Source organism: Homo sapiens, chromosome 22 (genome assembly GCF_000001405.40).
Source record: "Homo sapiens chromosome 22, GRCh38.p14 Primary Assembly".
In the NCBI taxonomy this organism is placed as follows: Eukaryota; Metazoa; Chordata; class Mammalia; order Primates; family Hominidae; genus Homo; species Homo sapiens.
Window position 1 is genome coordinate 42,259,914 of NC_000022.11, and position 22,068 is coordinate 42,281,981.

Here is a 22,068-nt window from a genome sequence, read left to right on the forward strand (position 1 = left end):
AGACCAGCCTGGGCAAAGTGAGACCCTTGTCTCTATTTTTTAAAAATAAATTAATTAATTTAAAAATGTTTTAAAGAATAAATTCAGACTATGATAAAAGCTATGAACAAAACAAGGCAGGGTGATGTAATGGGGCACTACTTTAGACAGGGAGGGTCAGAGAAAACCTTTCAGAGAAGGTCACATTTAGGTTGAACCTGAATGACAAACAGAAACAACTCAAAGATTTGAGAAGCAGAGTGTTCCAGACACAGGAAGGAGCCAAGTGTAAAGGTCCTAAGGTAGAAATGAGCTTGAGGAGTTCAAGAAACAAGAGGGAAGGTGAACAAACCTGTAGCTTAGAGAGCAAGAAGGAGACCAGGTCAAATGGTTTCAGAAGGAGGCAAAGGTTAGATATGACCCTGTTGGCCACCATATGAAAGCAATGAAAGACCACTGGAGCATTTTAGGAAGGCAATTGACATAATCCAATTTGAATTTTTAAGAGATCACTTTAGCTGATAAGTGGAAAAAATGGTTTGGGAGGAAGGCAAAAATAGGGGGTAGGAAAAACAGGAAACTAATAATACAGTTCAGATAAGAGGGTATGGTTCTTGAGATGAGAGGGAACAAATTCATGAGAGATACATATATGTATATGGTTTTTGTGAGGCACAATCACAGCTCGCAGATGCAATACGCCCACCTCAGCCTCCCAAGTAGCCGAGACCACAGATGAACATCACCATGCCTGGTTAATTTTTAAAAAATTTTAGAGACAGGGTCTCACTGTGTTGCCCAGGCCTTTCTTAAACTCCTGGACTCAAGCGATCCACCTGCCTTAGCCTCCCAAAGTGCTGGGATTACAGATGTGAGCCACCACGACTGGCCCAAACTTATGTTTTGAATATAACGCGAACAGAACCTGCTGAGCAATTAGATGTTGAGAGTGAGGGGGAAAAGGAATCTAGAACAATTCCTGGGTTGTTTTTGGCTGCAGGTTACAGGTGATTTTTACAGTCAAATCACATACAGCATATGATTTAATCAGTTTTGATGAATGCCTATCAAGACCTAACCATTTCTATACTCTAAAAAGTTCCCTCACATCTTCTCTTGGTCAATCCCTTTCTACCCAAGAAGCAACACCAATCTGAAATCTAGTACATAAATAAGTTCTGCCCATTCTGGAATGTCCATTAAGTGGGATCACCCATTACATATGATTTTTGGTTTTTCACTGAGCATATTTGTGAGATTAATCCTTATTACACGTATCTGTAGTTTGTTCCTTTTTGTTTGTGGTCTTCCATTGTATGAACATGCCAATTTGTTATCTACTGTCTCGCTGATGGACATCTGGACTGTTTAGTTTTGGTTATTATTTGGCTATTAATATTCTTATGTAAGTCTTATTTGTGGACATTTTCATTTCTCTTGGATAAATACCTAGAAATTAAACTGCTGGGTCACAGGGCAGATGTATGTTCAACTTTTTGAGAAACTGCCAGTTTTCCAAAGTGGTTGCATCATTTTATACTCCCATCAGCAGTGCATTCAAGTTCCAGCTGCCTGACTCCTACGTGTTTTGCTTAAATAACTCTTACCTATGCCACAATCAAACTCACAGTCTTTCAGCTCTTCAAACATATTTCATTCTACATTTTTTTTTTTGAGACCTTTGTGGATGCACTCAGGATACATTCCTCCTTGCCCCATCCCCTTTGCTGCCTCTTATTCATTCAACAAATATCCTGAAGGATGAGAAAAAGGCTAGGCTTGCCAGAGTGCTATGGATACAGGAAACAGTATATAAAAAAGTTCCAGATGGTGGCTCACACCTGTAATCCCAGCACTTTGGGAGGCCGAGGTGGGCAGATCACGAGGTCAGGAGTTCAAGACCAGACTGGCCAACATGGTGGAACCTGTCTCTACTAAAAATACAAAAATTAGCTGGGCCTGGTGGCGGGCGCCTGTAATCCCAGCTAGTCGGGAGGCTGAGGCAGGAGAATCACTTGAACCTGGGAGGCGGAGGTTGCAGTGAGCAAAGATTGAGTCACTGCACTCCAGCCTGGGTGACAGAGCAAGACTCCATCTCGAAAAAAGTTCCAGAGGTGGGAAAGAGCTTGCTACCTTCTGGGGCCTAAAAAAAAGTGAATGTGACTGGAGGGCCGTGAACAAAAGCAGCAGGAGGGTCAGAGAGGCAGGCAGAAGCCAGATTATTCTGGCCCTTGTGAACCATGTGGGGGAGTTTGGAATCTAAGTGCTATGGAAAACCATTAAAAGATTTTAAGCAGACACATACGACTCTTGGCCGCTCTGGGTGAAGTGGAATAGAGGCAGACACCAGCAGAAATGAGGCGGCCATCATCATGTTCCAGGTAAGAGGTAAAGAGGGTAGTGGCAGTACAGATGAAAGAAGTTATCATCTTATGGAAATAGCACTGACAGTAACTTGATGATAGATTTAGAGGTAGAGGGTGGTGAGAGAAAAGGAGGAATCTGATTTGAGAAACCGGGTAAACGGTAGAGCCCCTTACAGAGTTGGGGACAAATGCAGGACAAAGAGTTTGTGAGGAATAAGTGTTCAGTTTTGGACTTAAGCTCACAATACCAGTGAGATGGTCAAGCCGCTGTGTCGAGCAGGAGTTGAAGGCGCTAGAAGACATCTAGCTGAAGATGTGAATGTGGGGATCATCATCTTATGAACAAACAAAAGCCTGGGGAGATCAGAGATCACCGAGGGAGAAAGGACACTGAAAAAATAGGGTCTGGAGAATGCCAATGGTCAAGCATAAGAGGACAAACAACCAGAGGTGGGAAGAGACACTGAGCTCAGCAGGCTGATGAGGAAATACATGGTCCCGCTCTGAGAACCCTCCAGTGACCTCTCAAGTCAGGGTTATACACCTGGTACAGCATCTTCTATTCCCCTTATGAGAATACTTTTGATAACCCTATTTAATTGCCCTTCTCTACTATATACTAGGCCAATATTTGAGAACATAAAATCAACAGAATTAGCACGGACCAGCCCTGCTCTTAGACACTGGACTAAGACCAGTCCAGTGTCTTAGTACATAGCACAACATAGACTGATGGTTTAATGGACAGCTACCATTCTGAGTGCCACCTGCAGGCAGTCCACTTCACCATATACTTTTCCTATTTTAGTGCCTTCCCCCAACAGCCCAAAAGAAGATATATCTCCGTTGCACAGATAAGGAAACTACAGCTCAGGCAAAATGCCAAAAGTCACTGATAGCAAGTGATGGAGCCAGGATGAGGTTGCACATCCTCCTTCACACGCTCTGCTGCCTTCCATCACGTGGACTTTCTTCAGCAATAATATCCTCTCACATCACTACCAAAGGGATACAGAATCTGGCCTCAGGTAATTGGTCTCCCACAGCACTAAGTCAGGGAAACGCCCAGAGAAGTACCCCTGCTTGACTTCTCAAGAATCCCTATTTCTTGCCAAGCACAGTGAACATTCTCCAGACTCTCAAAGTAGTGCTTCATCCTTAGGGCACTTCTAAATGCAGCAGTGAAATCTGGCTTCCCTGAAACTGAGGTCTGGAGGTAAGCTGCTGGAGCCTTAACTCTTTTTCAATTCTAGAAACCCATTTTAGCCACCTATCAGGAGTTTCACCCTACATCCAAAAGGCCTCACTCTAAATGAACTAAATCTGATCATGGCCAAGGAAGTTTCTCCATGTCACCTATTTTGGACCAAGGCATAATTAGGATGAGAGAAACCAATGGGGCCTAAGAAGACAACACTACACATCTTTGTGAAAATTAACAGCAGTACAATTTTGTCTCTGCTTTCAAGCTTGATGTGTGCCATCTCTCCTTGATATCTTAAGATTGGAACTACATAGGCTTTTTCCTAAGCGAGTACATTAACACCCAGGAGCTTCCTTTTTCCACTCAAGAGCCACTGTGAACTATGCTGGTAAGAGCGTGGGGCATAGATGGCAAAGAATAGGTCCTACCCTTGATTCTGTCAGTATAAAGCCACATAACTTTGGGTAAATGACCAGCCTCTTGGCATCTTCCTGAGTTGTAAAGCCAAAGGGTTAGACTAGACAATTTTTTAGGTGTCTTCCAGCTCTAAAATTCTATAATCAGAGAGTATGGAAAGGATGGGAGAAGGCACGCTGGATGCCAGCTGGCTGGGAAAGACTGAGAGGATGAGCCCTCCTGGCTATGGTTAACAAAGCCTTTCTGATCCGCACAGTTCCCTCCCTTGCCAGAGCCTCTGCTTAGAGCTATCCTTGCTTTCCTTGACATCCCCACCCCCCTACCCAAACAGAAGATCCCCAACACAGAAACATGAACACATCTACAGGTCTAGATCTAAAGTGGGGCGGGGGCGGGGCGGGGGCAGGGTGGGGGAGGGGGGAGAAACAGACATAACCAGAGAATGTTTCCTACACTGTCTAACACTCACCAATATTACAATACATCTCCACATTTTTTATCAGGATGATTTTTTAAAAAAAGCAGACAACACTCCTCTTTCTTAGCCTTTACAAGGTACCACTAATGATCTCCCTTAAGCTCTTTTGAGCCAGGTCCCTATTCACAAACCAAAAAGATATAAACAGAGGGAACACTTCAACCAGCCCACTTCCATCCTTTGGATTAACTTCTCAAGATGCTCAGGGCTAAACAAATTATTTACTTTGTTTAATGTCATTTTCATCCAGCCCACAGATCAAGTTCGACTGCCCTACTGGCAGAAAAGGCTTCAGAACAGGGATTATCTTTGTGACCACTCTAAAGTAACATCCCCTGAGTTATTTCACATTGTTTTCTTATTTTCTTCACCGCTATTATCATCACCTGACATTTTTATTTACTGTTTACAGTCTGTCTCCAGAGTAGGCTCTTTCTTGCCCACCATCACATTTCCCATACTTAGAATGCCTGTAAATACTTGTTAATGCAAATTAGCACACACATGCACGCGGACCTTAATCCACATTCAGGGACATGACATTCAAAAGTGGAAACCATCTTCCAATCATACTGATATCAAATGTTCCAATGAATTTCTACTCTTTCCTATAGAACAGCTTACATATGCATACTGCAATAATGATATTTTCCCTAGTAGTTTTAATTCCCCACTATGAAACACCAGATAATAAGCCACGGATATACCAGCTAACTCATGTTATAGTTCATCTTCCTGCTGGGTCACGCATATTACCCAAAAAGCAAACATTGCTCTTACACAGAAAGTACTGATTGTGTTTGTCGCCATGAGAACCTTTTCACCCATACCACATGTACCAAGGGTATTACAGGACTTTCAACAGCCTAACCAATAATCAAAAACTATCCAGTGCAATGTGACCAAATTATGCTCTACTAACTATAAATACCTTGATTTCAGTATACTGTATTCTTTTTCTTCTTTTTTTGGACAGGATCTTGCTCTGTCTCCCAGGCTGGAGTACAATGGCAACAACATGGCTCACTGTAGCCTCAACCTCTCAGGTTCAAATGATCCTCACACCTCAGCCTCCTGAATAGTCTGGACTACAGGCACCCACGTCACATCTGGCCTTTTTTATTTTGCAGAGACCAGGTCTCACTATGTTGCCCAGGCTTACTGTATTTCAAAGGTATCACTGTCATGTACCGTTTTACTTCAATGGTTTTATTGTTTTGCTTTATCTTGTTACTTTTTTACCTCCACAAAAAGAAAATGAAGACAGCAGAGACAAAGCCCCAGACAGAATGAATGAGTACTAAGGTGCCTTGAACACAAAGTCCCCATGAGTAAGAAGGCTTAAGGCATACTGTGGAAAGAACTGTCTTTGGTAAATATATCTTTTGAGTCCCACCCAGTCGAACTGAGTGAGAGCAGTCACCATACAAAATGATTCTAGTGCATTGTAAACTAGTCAGGAAGAGATAGCCCTTTACGTATTATGTTACTCTTTAAGCTGATACCAAAGTTTTCAGCTCAGGACAGAATGACGGAATTAAGTATGAAAAGAGAAATTTTTTCACAGATTAAATCTCAAGTACACTGGCAAAACTGACCAAGTATGGGCAAGGTAAAAGTTTAGGGAACTCCCAGGGGGTCACAAAACCATAAGCAGTCACAAAAACCACCCTTTCCAGTATTTCACCTAAATCTAGATTTCAGGTTCATCATAGCTTTAAAATTAAAAAAAAAAAAAAAGAGGGGCACAGCAGGAAGATATGGATTCCAGGGCCGCACTTACCACTGACTGATTTGTGCCTTGAGCAGGCAACAAACCTAGTACAGCACAGGCTCTGGAGCCAACAGCAGGAGGGTTATATCTAAGCCTTGAGCCTCATTAGCTCTACCAGCTCTCAGGGAAAGGAAAGGTCATCTATCTCTAAGGTCAGCTGGGTGGATATTGTAACACAATTTAAAATGCCTTGGACAGAGTCTAGCACAAAAGCTTGTTTTTTATACAAATGCCAGCATTTTTTCCTGCCTATATGAAAGGTAGGTTGGACTCATGAGAAAAAGTCCAACTCCAATTAAGTGTGATCATTTCAATTACATTCCATTTTATCTTACAGAGTTTTAAAAAGTTGGCCAGGTGCAGTGGCTCATATCTGTAACCCCAGCACTTTGGGAGGCTGAGGCAGGCTGATAACCTCCTGACCTCACCTGAGATCAGGAGTTCGAGACTGGCCTGGCCAAGATGGCGAATCCCCATCTCTACTAAAAATACAAAAAAATAGCCAGGCATGGTGGCAGGAGCCCGTAATCCCAGCTATTCGGGAGGCTGAGGCAGGGGAATCGCTTGAGCCTAGAAAGAGAAGGTTGCAGTGAGCAGAGACTGTGCCACTGCACTCCAGCCTGGGCAACAGAGCGAGACTCCGTCTCAAAACAAACAAACAAAAAAGTATACCACTACTAGGTTATGGAACCTAAAAGCCATGTCTCCCGATATCTTACCAACTTTGGCAACCTCTCACGTGAATACACACAAATTACTTTGTAGAATGAAAATTTTATAACAATTTTTTCCCTTGTAAGTTTTATAAGACAAGTGTAATATACATGTGAGCATGATAACTGCTTACAATTTAATAGGCCGGGCACGGTGGCTCATGCCTGTAATCCCAGCACTTTGGGAGGCTGAGGCAGGCGGCTCACCTGAGGTCGAGTTTGAGACCAGCCTGACCAACATGGAGAAATCCCGTCTCTACTGAAAATACAAAATTAGCCAGGCGAGGTGGCGCATGCCTGTAATCCTAGCTACTCGGGAGGCTGAGGCAGGAGACTCGCTTGAACCCTGGAGGCTGAGGTTGCAGTGAGCCAAGATCGCACCACTGCACTCCCAGCTGGGCAACAAGAGCGAGACTCCATCTCAAAACAACAACAGAAAAAACAAAACCAATTTGAGTAATCGGAGTTTTTTTAAACACCACACTGAACGCAAGGTCATAATTCAAATCCTAACAAACTGTTTATTCTAGAAAATCACAAATAATCTGTGTGGCTATATAAAAGTGTCTACTTGTGGGCTGGGCATGGTGGCTCATACCTGTAATCCCAGCACTTTGGGGGCCCAAGGCGGGTGGATCATGAGGTCAAGAGATTGAGACCATCCTGCCCAATATGGTGAAATCCCATCTCTACTAAAAATACAAAAATTAGCTGGGCGTGGTGGTGCGCACCTGTAGTCCCAGCTACTCAGGAGGCTGAGGTGGGAGAATTGCTTGAACCCGGGAGGCGGAGGTTACAGTGGGCCGAGATAGTGCCACTGCACTCCAGCCTGGCAACAGAGAGAGACTCTGTCTCAAAAAAACAAACAAAAAAGTGTTTACTTGTGTGATAGGCCTGATGGTAACATACAAGAAAATTACTACCAAACTGTCTCCGAAGTCAATAATTATAAGCACTCTGCCCCTATGCTGGGATCCTTTTGGAAACTGTTCAAAGAGACTGAATCAAAAAGTGATCTAGCCCAGGCGCAGTGGTTCACACCTGTAATCCCAGCACTTTGGGAAGTCAAGGCAGGCGGATCACCTGAGGTCAGGAGTTCAAGACCAGCCTGGCTAACATGGCGAAATGTTGTCTCTACTTAAAATACAAAAATTAGCCGGGTGTGGTAGTGTATGCCTCTAATCCCAGCTACTCGGGAGGCTGACGCAGGAGAATCACCTGAAACTGGGAGGTAGAGGCTGCAGTGAGCTGAGATCGTGCCACTGCACTCCAGCCTGGACAACAGAACAACACTGTGTCAAAATAAATAAGTAAATAAAAGGGGATTTAATTTTAAAAATTAAATAATATATAAAAATAAAAAGTGATCTGAGAAAGACATATTGTAACATATTGGGCTCATATCCGGCCCAGCAGCACAGTTCTAGAAATTTAAGACAAATTCTGAGGTTGGTATAGAAATACTTACCAGTCAAAAGCACAGCCTAAGGCCTTCACACACCATAAAATCAGTGAAACTAATTGCGGTTCTTCAGCATCTGCGGAGCACTGGCTACCAGTAAGGAGAAAGTTGGGGATGCAGATAATCAGTGCACCCTGAGGTGACAGTTAATTCCACTAGCATACCATTTCACAGGAGATGTTATGGCATTCTACTTCATCCCCCTACTCTGAGAATGCTGAAACTGGCTGGAAATTTCAACAGTTAGCCAAATGTCAAATGTCCTTTGAAGAACTTTAATAAAATCTGGATCCTCCAAAATCCCCTGCGTAGAAAGATCTTGGAACTCCTCTGAGCCAACATACACAGACCCAATCACATGTTATCCACACATTTTCCAAGTAGACAAATATTCTCTGAAACATTTTCTGATAACTTCTTTCACAAAGACAAAAAATATGTTAAGGTGCATTCCACCTAGGTCAGAATAATACACTTTCTGATCTGAAGCACAGAACAGCAAGTGGGATTTCAAAAAAGAGCGTACCCTGACCAACTTTTATGCTCTGTTGAAGGCAGAGGCTGGAAGCTTAAAGACAGGCTTTTAAAAGCCAGCTAAGGTACAGTCTGCATTTCTCAGAAAAGTTGCCTATGGCTAAAACAGAGCACAAAATGAGAGATAAAAAAGCAAAACCACAAACCCCTGTACCGTCTGACCCGGGAGTCCTCACTTAACAGATGAGAAAATTACCAGGGAAAGTAACTTGCCCTGGGCTGCAGTTTATTTGGCGTCAAAGCTGTAAGCAGATTCCTGGTCTCCCAGGTCGGAATTCAGTGTAGCTTCCCCATCCACCTAACTGCCACCCCACGGAAGATGCTGTATAAAACTCTTCACTCTTCACTGAGGCTGTTAACATAAGGGTCCAATTATCATTCAAAGATCAGCCTGTTAGATAATAGCTCGAAAATTCCATCCATTTTACAGCAGTTACCAGAGACATCTAATCTTCGAGGAAAAAAAAGCAAAAAGGAAAAGGGGGAAATCCTAATTTTGACCTGACCCCTAAGGTCAAACTAAAGGATTGAATACAGACCAGCAGACCGTATTGGTATCCGCAACCACAAAAACAGACAATAATCCCACCCACAAGCAGAGGAAGACGGCCGCTCCTCGGCACCGCCCCCCAACTCACTAAATTCCACTCCCATTCCGGCGTCCAGAGGACAGTGCACCTCCCGCCGTAGCCTGAGAGGGATCGGCCCGATTGGCCACGCTCCTTCAAACCACCACTTTCCCCCGAAAAAGGGACGAAAGCCTCAGGTCCCCAAACGAGCGCTCCCTCGCCCAGAGACCCCGGCTTGCACACCCCGCCCTGTTCCCCGCGGCGCGGGAGGAGAGGCCGCCCCACACAGGAAGTGTGTCCTGCGCCGGGACCTTGCGCCCAACCCGCCGGTACCTGCCCTCCGCCCCCAACAGGCGAGAAGCAGCCGCGTCCACATGGCTTCAGGTGTTCACATGGCAGTAAACGGGCCCCTGCTCTCCTGGGCGCCCCAGCGCGGCGCCCTCCCGCCCACATCCCGGCCCAGCCCCGCTGGCCTCGCCTCCAGCCCGTAGCCAAGAGGCGAGCGCGGCCGGTGCCCCCGGGGCTGCCAGGGGCCCCGAAGCAGGCGGCGCTGACTCCCGGACGCCGCCCGCTCACACCCGCCGCCTTTGCACCCAAGGCCTCGCGCGACCAGCAGGTAGACCTTCCCTCCGCACCCTCGGGCCAGCACCGGCACCCAAGCCCCGCCGGAACCCCGGGCCGGCCCAAGACACCTTAGCCCTCTGATGCCAGGCCTGGCCCGGGCCCCTGCCCGCACTCTTGGGTCGGGCCGGGCAGCAACACTCCCCTCAGCACCCCAAGCCCTGACTCGGAGTCCAGGAGGCTCCGCACTCCCAGGTTGGGTCCGGCCGGGACCTCTGCTCCCAGCCCCCGAGGCCGGACACCCCGGCCCGGCCCCAGTCCTTCAGGCCCAACCCTCTCCCTGCCCCTCAGGCCCGGGAGGCGGTTACCTGCAGGAGCCCCCCGCCCAGTCCCTCGGCCTCCGCCGGGGGCGGGCGGGGAGGGAGCGGTGGCGACGGCGGGCGGCGCTGCGCGGGGTGGGGGTGGGGGTGGCTCCGCCGCCTCCAGCTCGGGCGCCCGGGCCGGCGGCGGGGCGGGCCGGGGCCGCGGCCCCTCGAGGCTCGCTCCGGCCCGCGCGCTCGCTCCCCGGTCAGGCGCGCCTCAGGGCGGGCTCCCCTGGCGGAGGCCGCGGCCGCCTCGCAGGGGCCGAAAGCGGCTGGGCTCGGGGTTTTTTCTCTCCATTCTCCCAACACACAGGAAATAACAGAGCGTCAGGTGACGGCGCGCGGCCAATGGGGAGGCTCCGGGCCGCGGCGCGCGGGCGGGCGGGAGGGCGCGCGGCGGGGCGGGGCGCGCGGCGGGGGCGGGGCGCTGGGGGCGGGGCCGGGCGCGCGCGTGCCCACCCGCGTGCGGCGGCGTCGAGGCTGGCGCGCGCCGGGTAGGGATCGCGAAGACCCCCACCTCGCGGCAGGGTCGCACGGGGTTCTCCTCTGCGGCCGCTGGGCGCCGCGCGCCACCCGCCCAGTGCCATCTTGGCCTGCGCCTCAGGGCCGTCTTGGGGGTGGACGCGAGCCAACTTTCTGGGGGAGTTGGTGGCCCGGAATCTCTCTGGGATTTCTGGAGTTCCCTGGAGCCTCCAACTCCAGAATCGCGCCTCTTGCGGCCCGGGAGGTCCGCGGGCGAGGACCCGGTCTCCTCTCGGTGACCTGTTTAGTGGGGTCGGGCGTGGGGGCGGCTCCTGCCCGCCAAGAGCCCTCTGGGCCGGGGGCAGCCCAAGACCTAGCTGGTCCCGCCTGGGTCCCTGGCAGCCCCCGCCCATGGGTTCCAGGTGTCCGTGGAGGAACGACTTGGGTCCTCTCAGAGCCTCAGTTTCCACCGCGGAAAACGCGAGGAGGGAGGCCCACCTACCTCACCTGTAAAACGGACGCTCCAGCTGCCTTCTGCTGCGGCATTAAGAAGCTGCAATGCCAGGCTGACTGCGCCCAGGGTCCCGAATTAATTTGCCGATAAGGCGGAGGATTTGCGGTGCCAAGGCCTCAGCTTGTTCCCAGCCTTCCTTTGCAAACCTGATGTTTCTAAAGCAAAGGAAGGGCTTGACTTCTTTATAAAGAAAATCGCAATTGTAGAGCAACTAATATGTAGATGTTGGTGCCCCCACGGCCATCAAAAGTGACAAGGCCAGCAAGAGTAGGATGCGTTGAGAATTTGTGATCCTGCCCCTGACCTTTGACCTGGCCAAATTCTCCTCCCACTTTGGGCCTCAGTTTCCTGTGGGTGAGGAGAGTTTGGATTAGATGTCCCTAATGTTGGCTAAAATTGCCGATTCTAAATTAGGCTCCCATCTGTCCTAGATGTTAGGGGAGTATGTGGCTTCCTCTCCTGAAGCAACCCAACTTAAAAGTTGGGATTGGAAAAGTGCTTCCGGCAGCAGGTGGGGATTGTCAGGAACCAGGTGTGGTCTGGAACCCAGATTTCCATATATTTGAGGTACACAGCTTCCCGGGGCCTGCTTTTACTTTTTGACCTTTCACCCCACCTAGCCATTGCCTTTTCTCAGGCTACCCAAGGAGGGTCTCAGGGTCCCAGGCAGAGCCCCAGGTGGTCCTGGGCCCCTTGGCAGGAGCATGTACTTGGGGAAGGCAGTGATTTCTCCTGGCTTCTGTCCAATCTCACAAAGTGGGGGCTGGCTCCAAAGCAGGTCAGGACTATTCCTGGGGACTTGATTCCCCAACACCTCCTGCATGCCAGGCTCTTCCGGGGCAGAGCTGAACAAGCCACGGGGCCCTGCCCTCTGATTATTCCCATTGTTCTTCTGAGTTTCATTTTCAAATTCTCAGGCCTCAAGACTTTTAAAAGACCAGTACCTGGCTTCTCCTGGGATCAGGGCTGTAAAGGGAAAGCTGGAAGAGGCACTCAGCACAAATCAATGTTTTCTGGACAAAAATAGGAGAATGCAGGGCCTCCTGAAGACTGGTGTTGGGGGCACCCTTAATTTCTTGAGAGAATTCATGAAGAAAGATGAATCCTTTTTCCTTAGAGTCCCCTGCCCCATCATTCTTCCATTCTTTCCCTTCTTCATAACCTCACTTGCGTCTCAGATGCAGGGCCCGGGGGATGCTGACAATCTGTCGCAGAGCCTCATTCAAAAGGGAAAGAATAAAGAATGCAGACAGATAACTGGAGTCCAGGCGCCTGTCAGCTCCTGCCTCTTATAACCATGCAGCCCCCTCCCCGCCCTTTCAGACCCTGCCAGAACATTGCCCCAATGCCCTCCACCTGGAAACTTCCCCAGTCCTTGGACCAGGCCAGCTGGGCCTCTTTATCCCTGAAAGCCTGCCACTTTCTCTTTTGGTTCCATCTGGAAAAAGAACGTGTATGGGCATCATAGCCAACAGGAAGATGTGGGTTACTCTTGGACTGCGTGGCCTTGGACAAGTCACTTCCCCCTTTGGTTTCCTCAGCTATAAAATGGAGATAATATTATCTCACTGGGCCGGGTGTGGTGGCTCACACCTGTAATCCCAGCACTTTGGGAAGCCGAGGTGTGAGGATTGCTTGAGGCCAGGAGTTCAAGACCAACCTGCGCAACACAGTGAGACTCCCCCTCATCTCTATTTATTTAAAAGAAAAAAATTTTTTTTTAATTACCTCACTCATAAGGTGTTGTGGGACTCTCAAGAGAGCTGCATAGGCCAGGCACAGTGGCTTACGCCTGTAATCCCAGCACTTGGGAGGCCAAGGGGGGTGTATCACCTGAGGTCAGGAGTTCAAGACCACCCTGACCAACATGGTGAAACCCTGTCTCTACTAAAAATACAAAAATTAGCTGGGCGTGGTGGCGGGCGCCTGTAATCCCAGCTACTTGGGAGGCTGAGGCAGGAGAATCGCCTGAACCCTGGAGGCAAAGGTTGCAGTTAGCTGAGATTGTGCTGTTGCACTCCAGCCTGGGCGACAAGAGCAAAACTCCGTCTCAAAAAAAAAAAAAAAAAAAAAAAAAAAATTCAGTGCAGTACCAGGCACTGTTAACACTAGCTGCATGTTCTATGACATGGACACAAAAGGACATGAGTAGACTGAGGCTCAAACAGGTTAAGTTGCTGCCCAAGATTGCACAGTGGCAGGCACTCAATAACTGAGCGCCCCTTCCTCTGAAATCACATTAGTGTTTTCTGTTGTTCTCTCACTGTCTCAAATGCATGGATCCTGTTTTTCCTACCACACTCGGAGCTCTTTAAGGAAAGAACAGTAAAAAAAAAAACAAACAAAAAAACAAAAACAGTAGACTAGTTTTTTTCCCCCTCCCTCCTAACCCAGTCCACTCAAAAATTACTTATTGAACTGAATCAGTGTATCAATTCTAGAAACAAAATTAATCCTTTCCCTCCTCCTCTGGCTCAAAGACGGCTTTTGGAAACACTGTATCACTCCTTTTATTACAAACTCCTCTGCCCTCCTCCAGGCGCCTGGGCCACTCCAGGATTACAAATGGAGCCTTCTGCCTCTAGGTCACTGATTCTACTACCATCTGTCAGCGTGGATTGATTGAGGAGACTGGCCCTGCTCGGCAGATCAGTGACTTGTGCGAAGTGAGCCAGGGTGTCGGTGCCTTCAGAGCAGGCGGATGTCCTTCCTCACTTGCCAGCTCTCGTGAGCAGACACACAGCCCTCACCTTTATCCTTCACCAAGCTCCAGCTCTCCTTCCTCTTGGGAGGCGCCGCCTGCTAACTCAGTCACACCAAGAGGGAGGCCTGGAATTCCTGCTCACAAGCTCGGGGCTTCATCTGCAGTCTGCCAGGAGGCAACTTACAAAAGCCTCTGGCTAACAGAGCGGGAAACTCCCCACAGCCTCCTGCTGTGCCTGTCCCCAAGCCACGCACTGTCCCCTTGCAAAGCACAAGGATACTGAGAGTGCACAAACAGCAGGGGTGGAGAGCCTCTGTGGGCACGCCCTCATTCTGTGCCCTCATTCCACAGGAGCCCCTGCTTTGTGCAAGTCTCTGAGCCCGCATGGAGGGAGCATGGGGGCTCAGAACAGTTCTTTCTGGGGCAAGGTCAGGGGAGGCTCTAAAGTTATGGTGGTGGGGAGGGCCTTAAAACAGAGGACCAGAGAATACCAAGACTTAGGGGTGTGGGGGAGAGCCACCTGCTGTGCCCAGGAGGACTGTGCCCAGTGCAGGGGAAAAAGATGAAGCTGCGGAGTTGGGCAAGGGTGGGATCCTGCAGGGCCTTAGAGCATTGACATGTTTGGCATGGATTTGTTTCACAGGGTCCCACAGAAACTTCTGCTCTCCAGGTTTGCCCCTCCACTCTGCCCTCCAGGATAGAAGTGTGGCATCCTAATCTGGGATGCATCCATCTCTCCCCCTGGACTGTGAGCATATGCAGGGCAGAGACACCTCTGCTTCTCTTGGGTCTCCGGCATCCTGTGCAGGGTAGGGCACCATGTCCATTAAAATGATGTTAATGAGGATGATACAGCCCAGAGGAATCCAGGCTTACTATGAACCAGGCACTATGCAGATTTCCCTTTATCATCCCAGTTCTTCTTATTTGCAGCAGTCTAATGAGTTTGGTACTGTTATCACCCCTATTTTACAGATGGGGCCACTGAGGTGCAAAGAGTTTAACTTATCCCAAGTCACACAGTTTGGAAGAGGCTGAGCTGGTATTTGAACCCAGGTTTTCAGAGGCTGCACTCTTAACCACCAAGCTTCCCAGCACTCAGCAAACACTGGAAAGACAGAGATGGACCTAGACAGTCAGTAGGACCAAAAGTCTGCAGGCCGATAGGGAAAGAATGTAAGAGGACGGCATGGGCAGCGCCAGCCCCTCCAGCAGTCATATATTAAGCCCTGGACACTGGGCAGCTCGGGCAGGTCGGGGGGCCTCAGACTCTCGGACCCCATGCCTGGAAGACCACGGTCTGCCCAACAAGCAGCAGCTGCTGTGAATCGACTTACACATCTTCCCCACAGGTGAGCAGAGAGCTAACACCTGAGGATAGGCCAAGAAACGGGAAGCCCGTGCAACCTGAGCGCACAGATCACCCCCACCTGCCCGGCACTCACTGTCCCCAGTGGCTGGACTCTCATCGGGCCAGTCACTGAGCTGGCGCCAGCCTGGTCTCACCAGTGTGTGTCTTTAAATCATCCAATTTCTTCAGCTGTAAATTGGGCTGGGAGGGGCCAGGTGAGCTGCCTGCCTCAGGGGAGTCGGCGCCCTTACCTGAGTGATCCCATTCACTCCTCACAACAAACCCATGAGGCAGGGATTGTCATCTTCATTGTACAGAGCAGGAAATGGGTGCACACAGAGGTTAAGAGACTTGCCCAGGTCACACAGCTAGGAAGAGGCTGTGATTTGAACTCAGTCTTCTGGCTCCAAAGCCCCCACAGAGTCACTCAGGGCACTACAAAGAGTTAACCTGAATATGAAATGATCTAAGAGTCGCAGTGACAAAGGCATGCTCTAAGCGCTTTTCCTGCAGTAACTTGCTTAATCCTTACAACAACCCTATAAAGTGGGTACTGTTCTCGCCTCATTTTGCAGATGAGGAAACTGAGGCACAGAGCAGCTCGGAGGGGGCAGAGCTGAATCTGACAGGCTACAGGGCCCCTGCGTTGCTTTGTTATAAGATGACAATAAGGAAGTTCCTTTCCTTTGGGATTATTTCTGCCTGAAAGCTCAAGACTTTTAGCCACATCATTGTCTGGGCTCCACGGGAAGGCAGTGCCACATGCTGAGGCATGCTGGGAAAAGACTTTGTTCCATCCTGTTTTGTTGACATGCTCTTCATTTTTAAGCCTGAAACCGAAGCTTCCTGCTAAGAATTCAAACCATGGAGAAAAACGCAGCCATGATAACGGCCACTACTTCCTGAGCCTCCAGTGTTCCCTGTGCTTGGGGATCCATATATGTCACTTAACCTTAACCTTCACAACACCAGGGCAGCCTCCATTTTCACAAGTGAAGAAATGGAGGCCCAGAGTCACTTAGAAGATGCTCGAAGGTGCACAGCTGCTAAGTGGTGGTGCTGGGATTTGTCCTCAGGTCCTCAAGAGTCCTGACTCTTATGTGCTGGCTCCCCACGGAGGCGTGGAGTCTTGTTTGCTGGGCATTTGACAGAAATGTTTCTGCTCATCTTCTGCCACAGGTTGGTCCTTCAGCGTCAAGATTCCTGGGCCACTTATTAATAGAAGGCACCAGGACACAGGTGCAGGGATGCAGAGCTGGATGCTGCCTTCTCAATAGGAGAAGCCAAGAAACGCAGATGCCGATGCTTAATCAACTCCGTCTCTCCCTCTAGTGACTCGGGGATAGCTGCCCTGATGCCAAGGCGATTGTCTTCTGGAAGCAGCCACGCCGTGTGAGGTTCCTCATCACTGCCCTGCATCTCCCTGCGAGCTCTCGGGGATAATTGCAAAATCACGTTTGATTCCAGGGGAGCAGAAAGCAGCAGGAGCCGTGAATTCTCCAACTCTTAACTGGTCCTCGACTGGAGCCACTTTTCCCTGCCCACCCATCCCTGTGGCGGATTCATTACAGTTATCCAAAGCCGGTTTTAACTTTGCTCCCCCTGGCTCAGAAGTCTGTCAGTGGGTCCTGAGCGGCTTCACCATTCAAGTTTATTCCTATCAGCCTGGAATACAATGCTCTATCTGGCTCCGCTTGCTTCTCCAAACCTTCTCTCCCAGGTCTCATTCTGCCTCTCTGTCTAACTAGACAAGTTGGCTTCCTGTCCTGTGCCTGTCTGCTCCCTGCAGCAGGAATGCCGTTCCCTCTTCCCTACAGATTGAAATTATATCCTCTTTCAAGTCTTACTCAAATGCCACCTCCTCCACAAACTCTTAACACTTATTCATTCATTCAACAAACATTGACTGAGCCCTTATGACAAGCATTGATCCCAAGGGTCCCTGTGGTCATGAAGTTTATGGTGCCATGGAGCTGTTAGAAAAAGAATCATCACATAAATAATCATCTGATAACAGCCATGATACAAATTAGTAAGAAAGTGTGGCAGGAGCACAGCAGATGTACAATAGGGACCCTGAGCCTTGGGGATCTAGGACATTTGAGCTGAGGCCTGAAAGACAAGTAGGAAGTAACCACATGGTGAAGTTGGAGGAGAGCTCCAGGCAGAGGGCACGGCATGGGCAAAGGCCCTGCGGTAGGAGGGAACAAGTAGATTTCCAGGAAGGGCACAGGGGCCTGCAGGGTAATGTAAGTGAAATGAGAAAGCTGGAGATGCAGCTGGAGCAGGACAGTACAGGCCACAGAGGCTTTGCGACTTTATCCCTGGGCAAAAAGAGGAGATGATGAAGGATTCTGAGCACAGGACACAAGCCAGTATGTATTTAGACGCGATCCTGCCCTGTGGCTGAGCCTCTTCTGAGAAGTGCAGGCCCTGTGTCACGTCACCCTGAACCTCAGTCATCAGGGTTTTGGATGTGAGTTTCCATATCCCTCTTCCTAGGCCAAGCTCTCAAAGGCAAGGCTGACCTCTGGTCTTCAGCTTCATCCTCATCAGCCAGGCCAGTGCCCAGCACAAGGAGCTGCTCCAAAAACATACGTGGGTTGAACCAGTGACCAGGACAAGACGCTTATCAGCATTTCCCTGCGAAGGAGCAGGGCTGCCTGTAAAGCCTTCCACATTCTCTAGAAATTACAAAGTTCAAGGGTTTTAGTGAGGCCACGACTCAGGGAGCCCTTGAGAGCCAAGCTGGCATCCCACTGCTGTGCACACCCAGCCTGGGCACACAGTATGACCCTGCCCAGGCATCTGCCTGCGGCCGTCTGGTGAATGACCAGAAACAGAACCGAAAGCTCTGTAAAGTGCTCTCAAGGTTACAAAGCATGTTTCACAGGAGCAGTTTCATCTCACACGGGCAGCCCTCTGAGCTGGGTAGTTACTGCTTTACAGATGAGGAAACTGAGGCCCGGGAGAGGGCGGGACCTCAGCAAATCAAGAAAAAACTGAGACTAGGACCTAACGGAAGTCCAGGCTATGAATGGCCCCCGTAGGGTTAAAAGAGCTTTCTAGAAATTTCTTTGAAAACTATTGTAAAGTGACATATTTCCTCAGGATGTCTGTCACGCCAGCAGTGGGAGCCAACACACCAACTCTCAGAGGCTGTTCCCCCTGCGCGGCAGATCCAGACGCTCAGCTCCCAGGCCTGGAGGCTGGCGGCTTAGCCCAGGGCACAGGAGGAGGCTGCCTGGGTTTGGCGCTGACTTACAGCAGGTGCTGAGGGAATGCTGAGGAGAGGCAAGGCTGATTCAAGAGGCCGACAACAGAGAACATTCCTAGAGCTCTCCCGCCAGCTAGGCATGGTGCTAAGTGCATTACCTGCGTCCACTCGTAACATCCTCACAACACTGTGAATACGATGACCATCCCCATGTACAGGCGTGGACGCTAAGGCTCAGAGCAATAAATAATTAGCCTGAGATCACACGGCAGGTGAGTGCAGAGGCCGGATCTGAACCCACACATTGCCCTTAAGCAACCCCATGTCCTGAGCAAAGGTGAGCAGAAACATCTTGGGAAGAGGGAACCACGACTGTATCTTCCTCAGCAGACATGATGGTGCAGGGTACCCCTTCCCCTGCCCACCTGACGACCATTATTCCCATTATCAGTATATCCCTCTGTGGGCAAATGATGACAGACATGCATGGTAACCACTTCTTCACAAGTTTTGTGTCTCCCCAGCCTCCTCCCCTAGGGCTCTCTAGGCTTCCTTTACCCGTCCTGCCTCAGATGGACTCCCAGCATCATCATCTGCCTCTGTGCCTTCTTGGTAGTAGGTGGGTGTGAAAAAGAAAGGAAGGGCCAGGTGCAGTGGCTCATACCTGTAGTCCCAGCACTTTGGGAGGCTGAGGCGGGCGGATCACCTGAGGTCAGGAGTTCGAAACCAGCCTGGCCAACATGGTGAAACCCTATCTCTGGTGGCAGGTGCCTGTAATCCCAGCTACTTGGAAGGCTGAGGCTGGAGAATCACTTGAACCTGGGAGGCAGAGGTTGCAGTGAGCAGAGATTGCGCCACTGCACTCCAGTCTGGGCAACAGAGCGACTCCCTCTCAATAAATAAAATAAAATAAGGAAGGACAGAGGGCAATGTGACCTTCGGCAAGCTCCCTAAGCTCCTGAAGCCTCAGCCTTTTCACCCGTAGAACAGGGACATTAACATCACCCCCGAGTGAGGGCTGCAGGCACACAGTGACTGCGCTTCTCAGTGCCACAAGTGCTGTTGCCATCATTCCAGCCTCAGGTGCTCCGTGAGGTGGGACGATTCACCCCATGAGCAAACAGGCTCAGGGAGGTGTGGTGCCTACAGTCACCCAGCAGACACAGCGGAGCAAGGAGGAAGCCACACCTGTTGGATCCCAAAGCTTCTGCTGAGGGGAGGAGGGAGAGTGAATGAGCCACTGGGGGCCTCCGTGGCAATCGGGCTCACAAAGCCATGTGTGGGCTGGATGTGGCTCCCCAGCCCCGTAGACACCACCCCAGGTGCTCCTCACAGGTGATGGGGTGTGTTGTCTATGGGGCTCTTGTGCCCTCTGGGGGCCTCTGGGGAGCTGCTACTGGGCTGGGCCCTCTCGGTCCCTGAGCCTAGACCAGGTGAGTTACTAGCAGGGACAGGAGGAGAAATGGGAAAGCTAGGCAAGAGGTCACTCATCTGTGGGCTGAGTGCAGAATGGGAGGGAAGAAAGCATCCTTTCTGGAAAAATCAATGGGCAGATGATACCGCCCAAGTCACTACCTACATGGAAACCTTCCAAGAAAACCAAAGCAACAAGAGAATCACAGCCCCTTAGAGCAGTGGCGGGCCTGAGAGGTGAACAGACCCAAGTCCGCCTCACACAGCTAGGGAAATCGAAGTCCAGGATGGTGGTCACAACTCGCTCAAGGCCCCACGGTGTGTAGGTGACTCCGCCACGTATGAGGGGCGTCCAGCCCCAGGCAGCTCATTTACAGTGGTGGGTGGGCCTTTGTGGTCTCCATGCCTCACACTCCAGCCATCCACTTCCCTCTGTTCTTGCCTTTGCTAAGCAAGGGGACTGGTTTAGCTTCACCCAGAAACTACCAAATCTCTGGGGCTTTTCCCTGCACACTTTTAGTTTCTAGGCTGCCCTGGCCCCTGCTCTGCCCCTACATGTGGCTCAGGGTGGGGAGAGACTATTAAGCTAATACATAGTTAGGCAACTAGAACACAGCCTGCAAATCTCGCAGTCAGTGCTCCTCAGTCTTGGCTATTATTACCAGACACGATGACCATCTCCATTTTACAACTAGGGAAACTGAGGCTCAGATGGATTGAGTGATTAGACCCCAGACACTAGGTGCTAGAGCCTTTGCTCTCTGGAGTTATCTTTTTTTAAGCTAACAATTATTCAGTGCCCCCTGGGAGCCAGGCTCTGGCTGACTGCTTTGTGAGAATGATCTCATGTAATCCTCACCTCAGCCCTGTGATGTAGGTATTATTATTACCCAAGAACACAAAGACTCACAGAGGGCAGGTAACTTCCTTGAAGCCACACAGCTAGGAAATGGGAGAGCCAGGATTGAACCCAGGCAGTCTGGCCTCAGGACGTTGGCCACCCCTCTGTGCTGCCATCTCCGTTGGGGATAGGTCTGGGGGACTAGCCACCCCAGTCTCCCACAGGAGCCTCCAGTCATCTCGGGGTCCCAGGCTGGAGGAGCTGCTCCTGAACCCTTCACCCCTTGATCGGCATCCAAACTGCTTCCCGCCAATTTGGTTCCAGCTCAGAATGTGGCCTGGGCTGGTCCTGAGACTCCAAATTAAAAGAAGACCCAAGCTGGTCTTTAAATTCAAATCTGAGGCCATCTGGGAATCCCAGCACAAGGCAGCCTGAGAGAGGCTGGCTTGGGAGCAGCTAGAACAAGCCAGCTTTGCAAGATCCTGAAAACGGGTCCAAAGAAGGCGAGTTTGCAATGACTGCGGTGTCCATGTGGCACCGCCCAGTCTGTCATCAGGTCAGGTTCTCCCTTCCTCCACAAGTGGCTCCCCCAGCCAGTGAAACAAGGGCCCCACTTCCACTGTCGCCGCCTCTCCCCACTCTTCCCTTCCAACGGCTTCAGCCACAGAGTGCAACCCGCCTCTTACACCTTGGATGCGCTGTTCTTGCACTTCCCTCTGATGGTACACCCTCTCCTGCCTTAGCACGGCAAACTCCTACTCACTCTTCAAGGCCTTCAAATGCCACCTCCTCTGTGAAGCCTCTCTTGATTTCCCTGTCAGACCTCACAGGGGTACTCAGGGAAAAGATTTCTGTGGGGAAAAAACCCCTTGGGGTGAGTTTGCCCAAAGGAAGTGAGCCCATCACACCGTCTAGGACATGGGGAGAGGGCAGCTGTTCCATCCTGGTGGTCCCACTTCCTGGGGGGTCTGAGTCTGGGTGTGTTCCTCTGAGCTCTAGGAACAGGGCTCCTCTATGCCCAGCTCTGGGCAGGTGCCAGGAGTGCAGAGGGGAGGCCTTAAGTGTCCCTGTAACCAAGGATGGTCACCCAGGCTCTGCACCCAAAGGCCTAACAGGGAGACAGACCCACGTCTGTGTGGTCAGGACT

General features: G+C 50.2%; 1 protein-coding gene and 1 pseudogene across 11 annotated transcripts in view, besides 9 other annotated features; one reads left to right on the top strand and one right to left on the bottom strand.

Annotated features, from left to right (window-relative positions):
- TCF20 (transcription factor 20) overlaps window positions 1-22,068 on the bottom strand; it is a 183,525-nt gene that overhangs the window by 99,901 nt on the left and 61,556 nt on the right. For 3 of the 10 annotated variants that reach the window (NM_181492.3, XM_011530353.3, NM_001378418.1), the window contains exon 1: window positions 10,426-10,740. The exons of 3 other annotated variants lie outside the window; for them this stretch is intronic. The gene's annotated coding sequence lies outside the window, so the exon portion shown is untranslated. Of the gene's footprint in view, window positions 1-8,399; window positions 10,741-22,068 lie in introns of those variants that run through there. 4 more of the 10 variants (XM_047441478.1, XM_047441475.1, XM_005261722.4 and 1 more) reach the window with 3 other exon arrangements.
- Window positions 3,418-3,467: an enhancer, noted in NCBI's record as "active region_19154". NCBI's record gives its function as "activates an Ori minimal core promoter by ATAC-STARR-seq in GM12878 lymphoblastoid cells {active_cell/tissue: GM12878}" and the evidence as "EXISTENCE:reporter gene assay evidence [ECO:0000049][PMID:35858748]".
- Window positions 9,494-9,553: an enhancer, noted in NCBI's record as "active region_19155". NCBI's record gives its function as "activates an Ori minimal core promoter by ATAC-STARR-seq in GM12878 lymphoblastoid cells {active_cell/tissue: GM12878}" and the evidence as "EXISTENCE:reporter gene assay evidence [ECO:0000049][PMID:35858748]".
- Window positions 9,840-14,949, top strand: OGFRP1 (opioid growth factor receptor pseudogene 1; annotated as a pseudogene). Its single transcript, NR_036498.1, has 2 exons — window positions 9,840-10,112; window positions 13,981-14,949. The product of NR_036498.1 is annotated as an opioid growth factor receptor pseudogene 1 (transcript).
- Window positions 9,884-10,123: a silencer, noted in NCBI's record as "silent region_13820". NCBI's record gives its function as "represses an Ori minimal core promoter by ATAC-STARR-seq in GM12878 lymphoblastoid cells {active_cell/tissue: GM12878}" and the evidence as "EXISTENCE:reporter gene assay evidence [ECO:0000049][PMID:35858748]".
- Window positions 10,264-10,323: a silencer, noted in NCBI's record as "silent region_13821". NCBI's record gives its function as "represses an Ori minimal core promoter by ATAC-STARR-seq in GM12878 lymphoblastoid cells {active_cell/tissue: GM12878}" and the evidence as "EXISTENCE:reporter gene assay evidence [ECO:0000049][PMID:35858748]".
- Window positions 10,384-10,533: a silencer, noted in NCBI's record as "silent region_13822". NCBI's record gives its function as "represses an Ori minimal core promoter by ATAC-STARR-seq in GM12878 lymphoblastoid cells {active_cell/tissue: GM12878}" and the evidence as "EXISTENCE:reporter gene assay evidence [ECO:0000049][PMID:35858748]".
- Window positions 10,674-10,833: a silencer, noted in NCBI's record as "silent region_13823". NCBI's record gives its function as "represses an Ori minimal core promoter by ATAC-STARR-seq in GM12878 lymphoblastoid cells {active_cell/tissue: GM12878}" and the evidence as "EXISTENCE:reporter gene assay evidence [ECO:0000049][PMID:35858748]".
- Window positions 14,953-15,749: an enhancer, noted in NCBI's record as "H3K4me1 hESC enhancer chr22:42670872-42671668 (GRCh37/hg19 assembly coordinates)". NCBI's record gives its function as "activates a minimal SCP1, AML or CMV promoter by ChIP-STARR-seq in naive H9 embryonic stem cells {active_cell/tissue: H9 hESC(naive)}" and the evidence as "EXISTENCE:reporter gene assay evidence [ECO:0000049][PMID:30033119]".
- Window positions 15,750-16,546: an enhancer, noted in NCBI's record as "OCT4-NANOG-H3K4me1 hESC enhancer chr22:42671669-42672465 (GRCh37/hg19 assembly coordinates)". NCBI's record gives its function as "activates a minimal SCP1, AML or CMV promoter by ChIP-STARR-seq in naive and primed H9 embryonic stem cells {active_cell/tissue: H9 hESC(naive and primed)}" and the evidence as "EXISTENCE:reporter gene assay evidence [ECO:0000049][PMID:30033119]".
- Window positions 18,244-18,493: an enhancer, noted in NCBI's record as "active region_19156". NCBI's record gives its function as "activates an Ori minimal core promoter by ATAC-STARR-seq in GM12878 lymphoblastoid cells {active_cell/tissue: GM12878}" and the evidence as "EXISTENCE:reporter gene assay evidence [ECO:0000049][PMID:35858748]".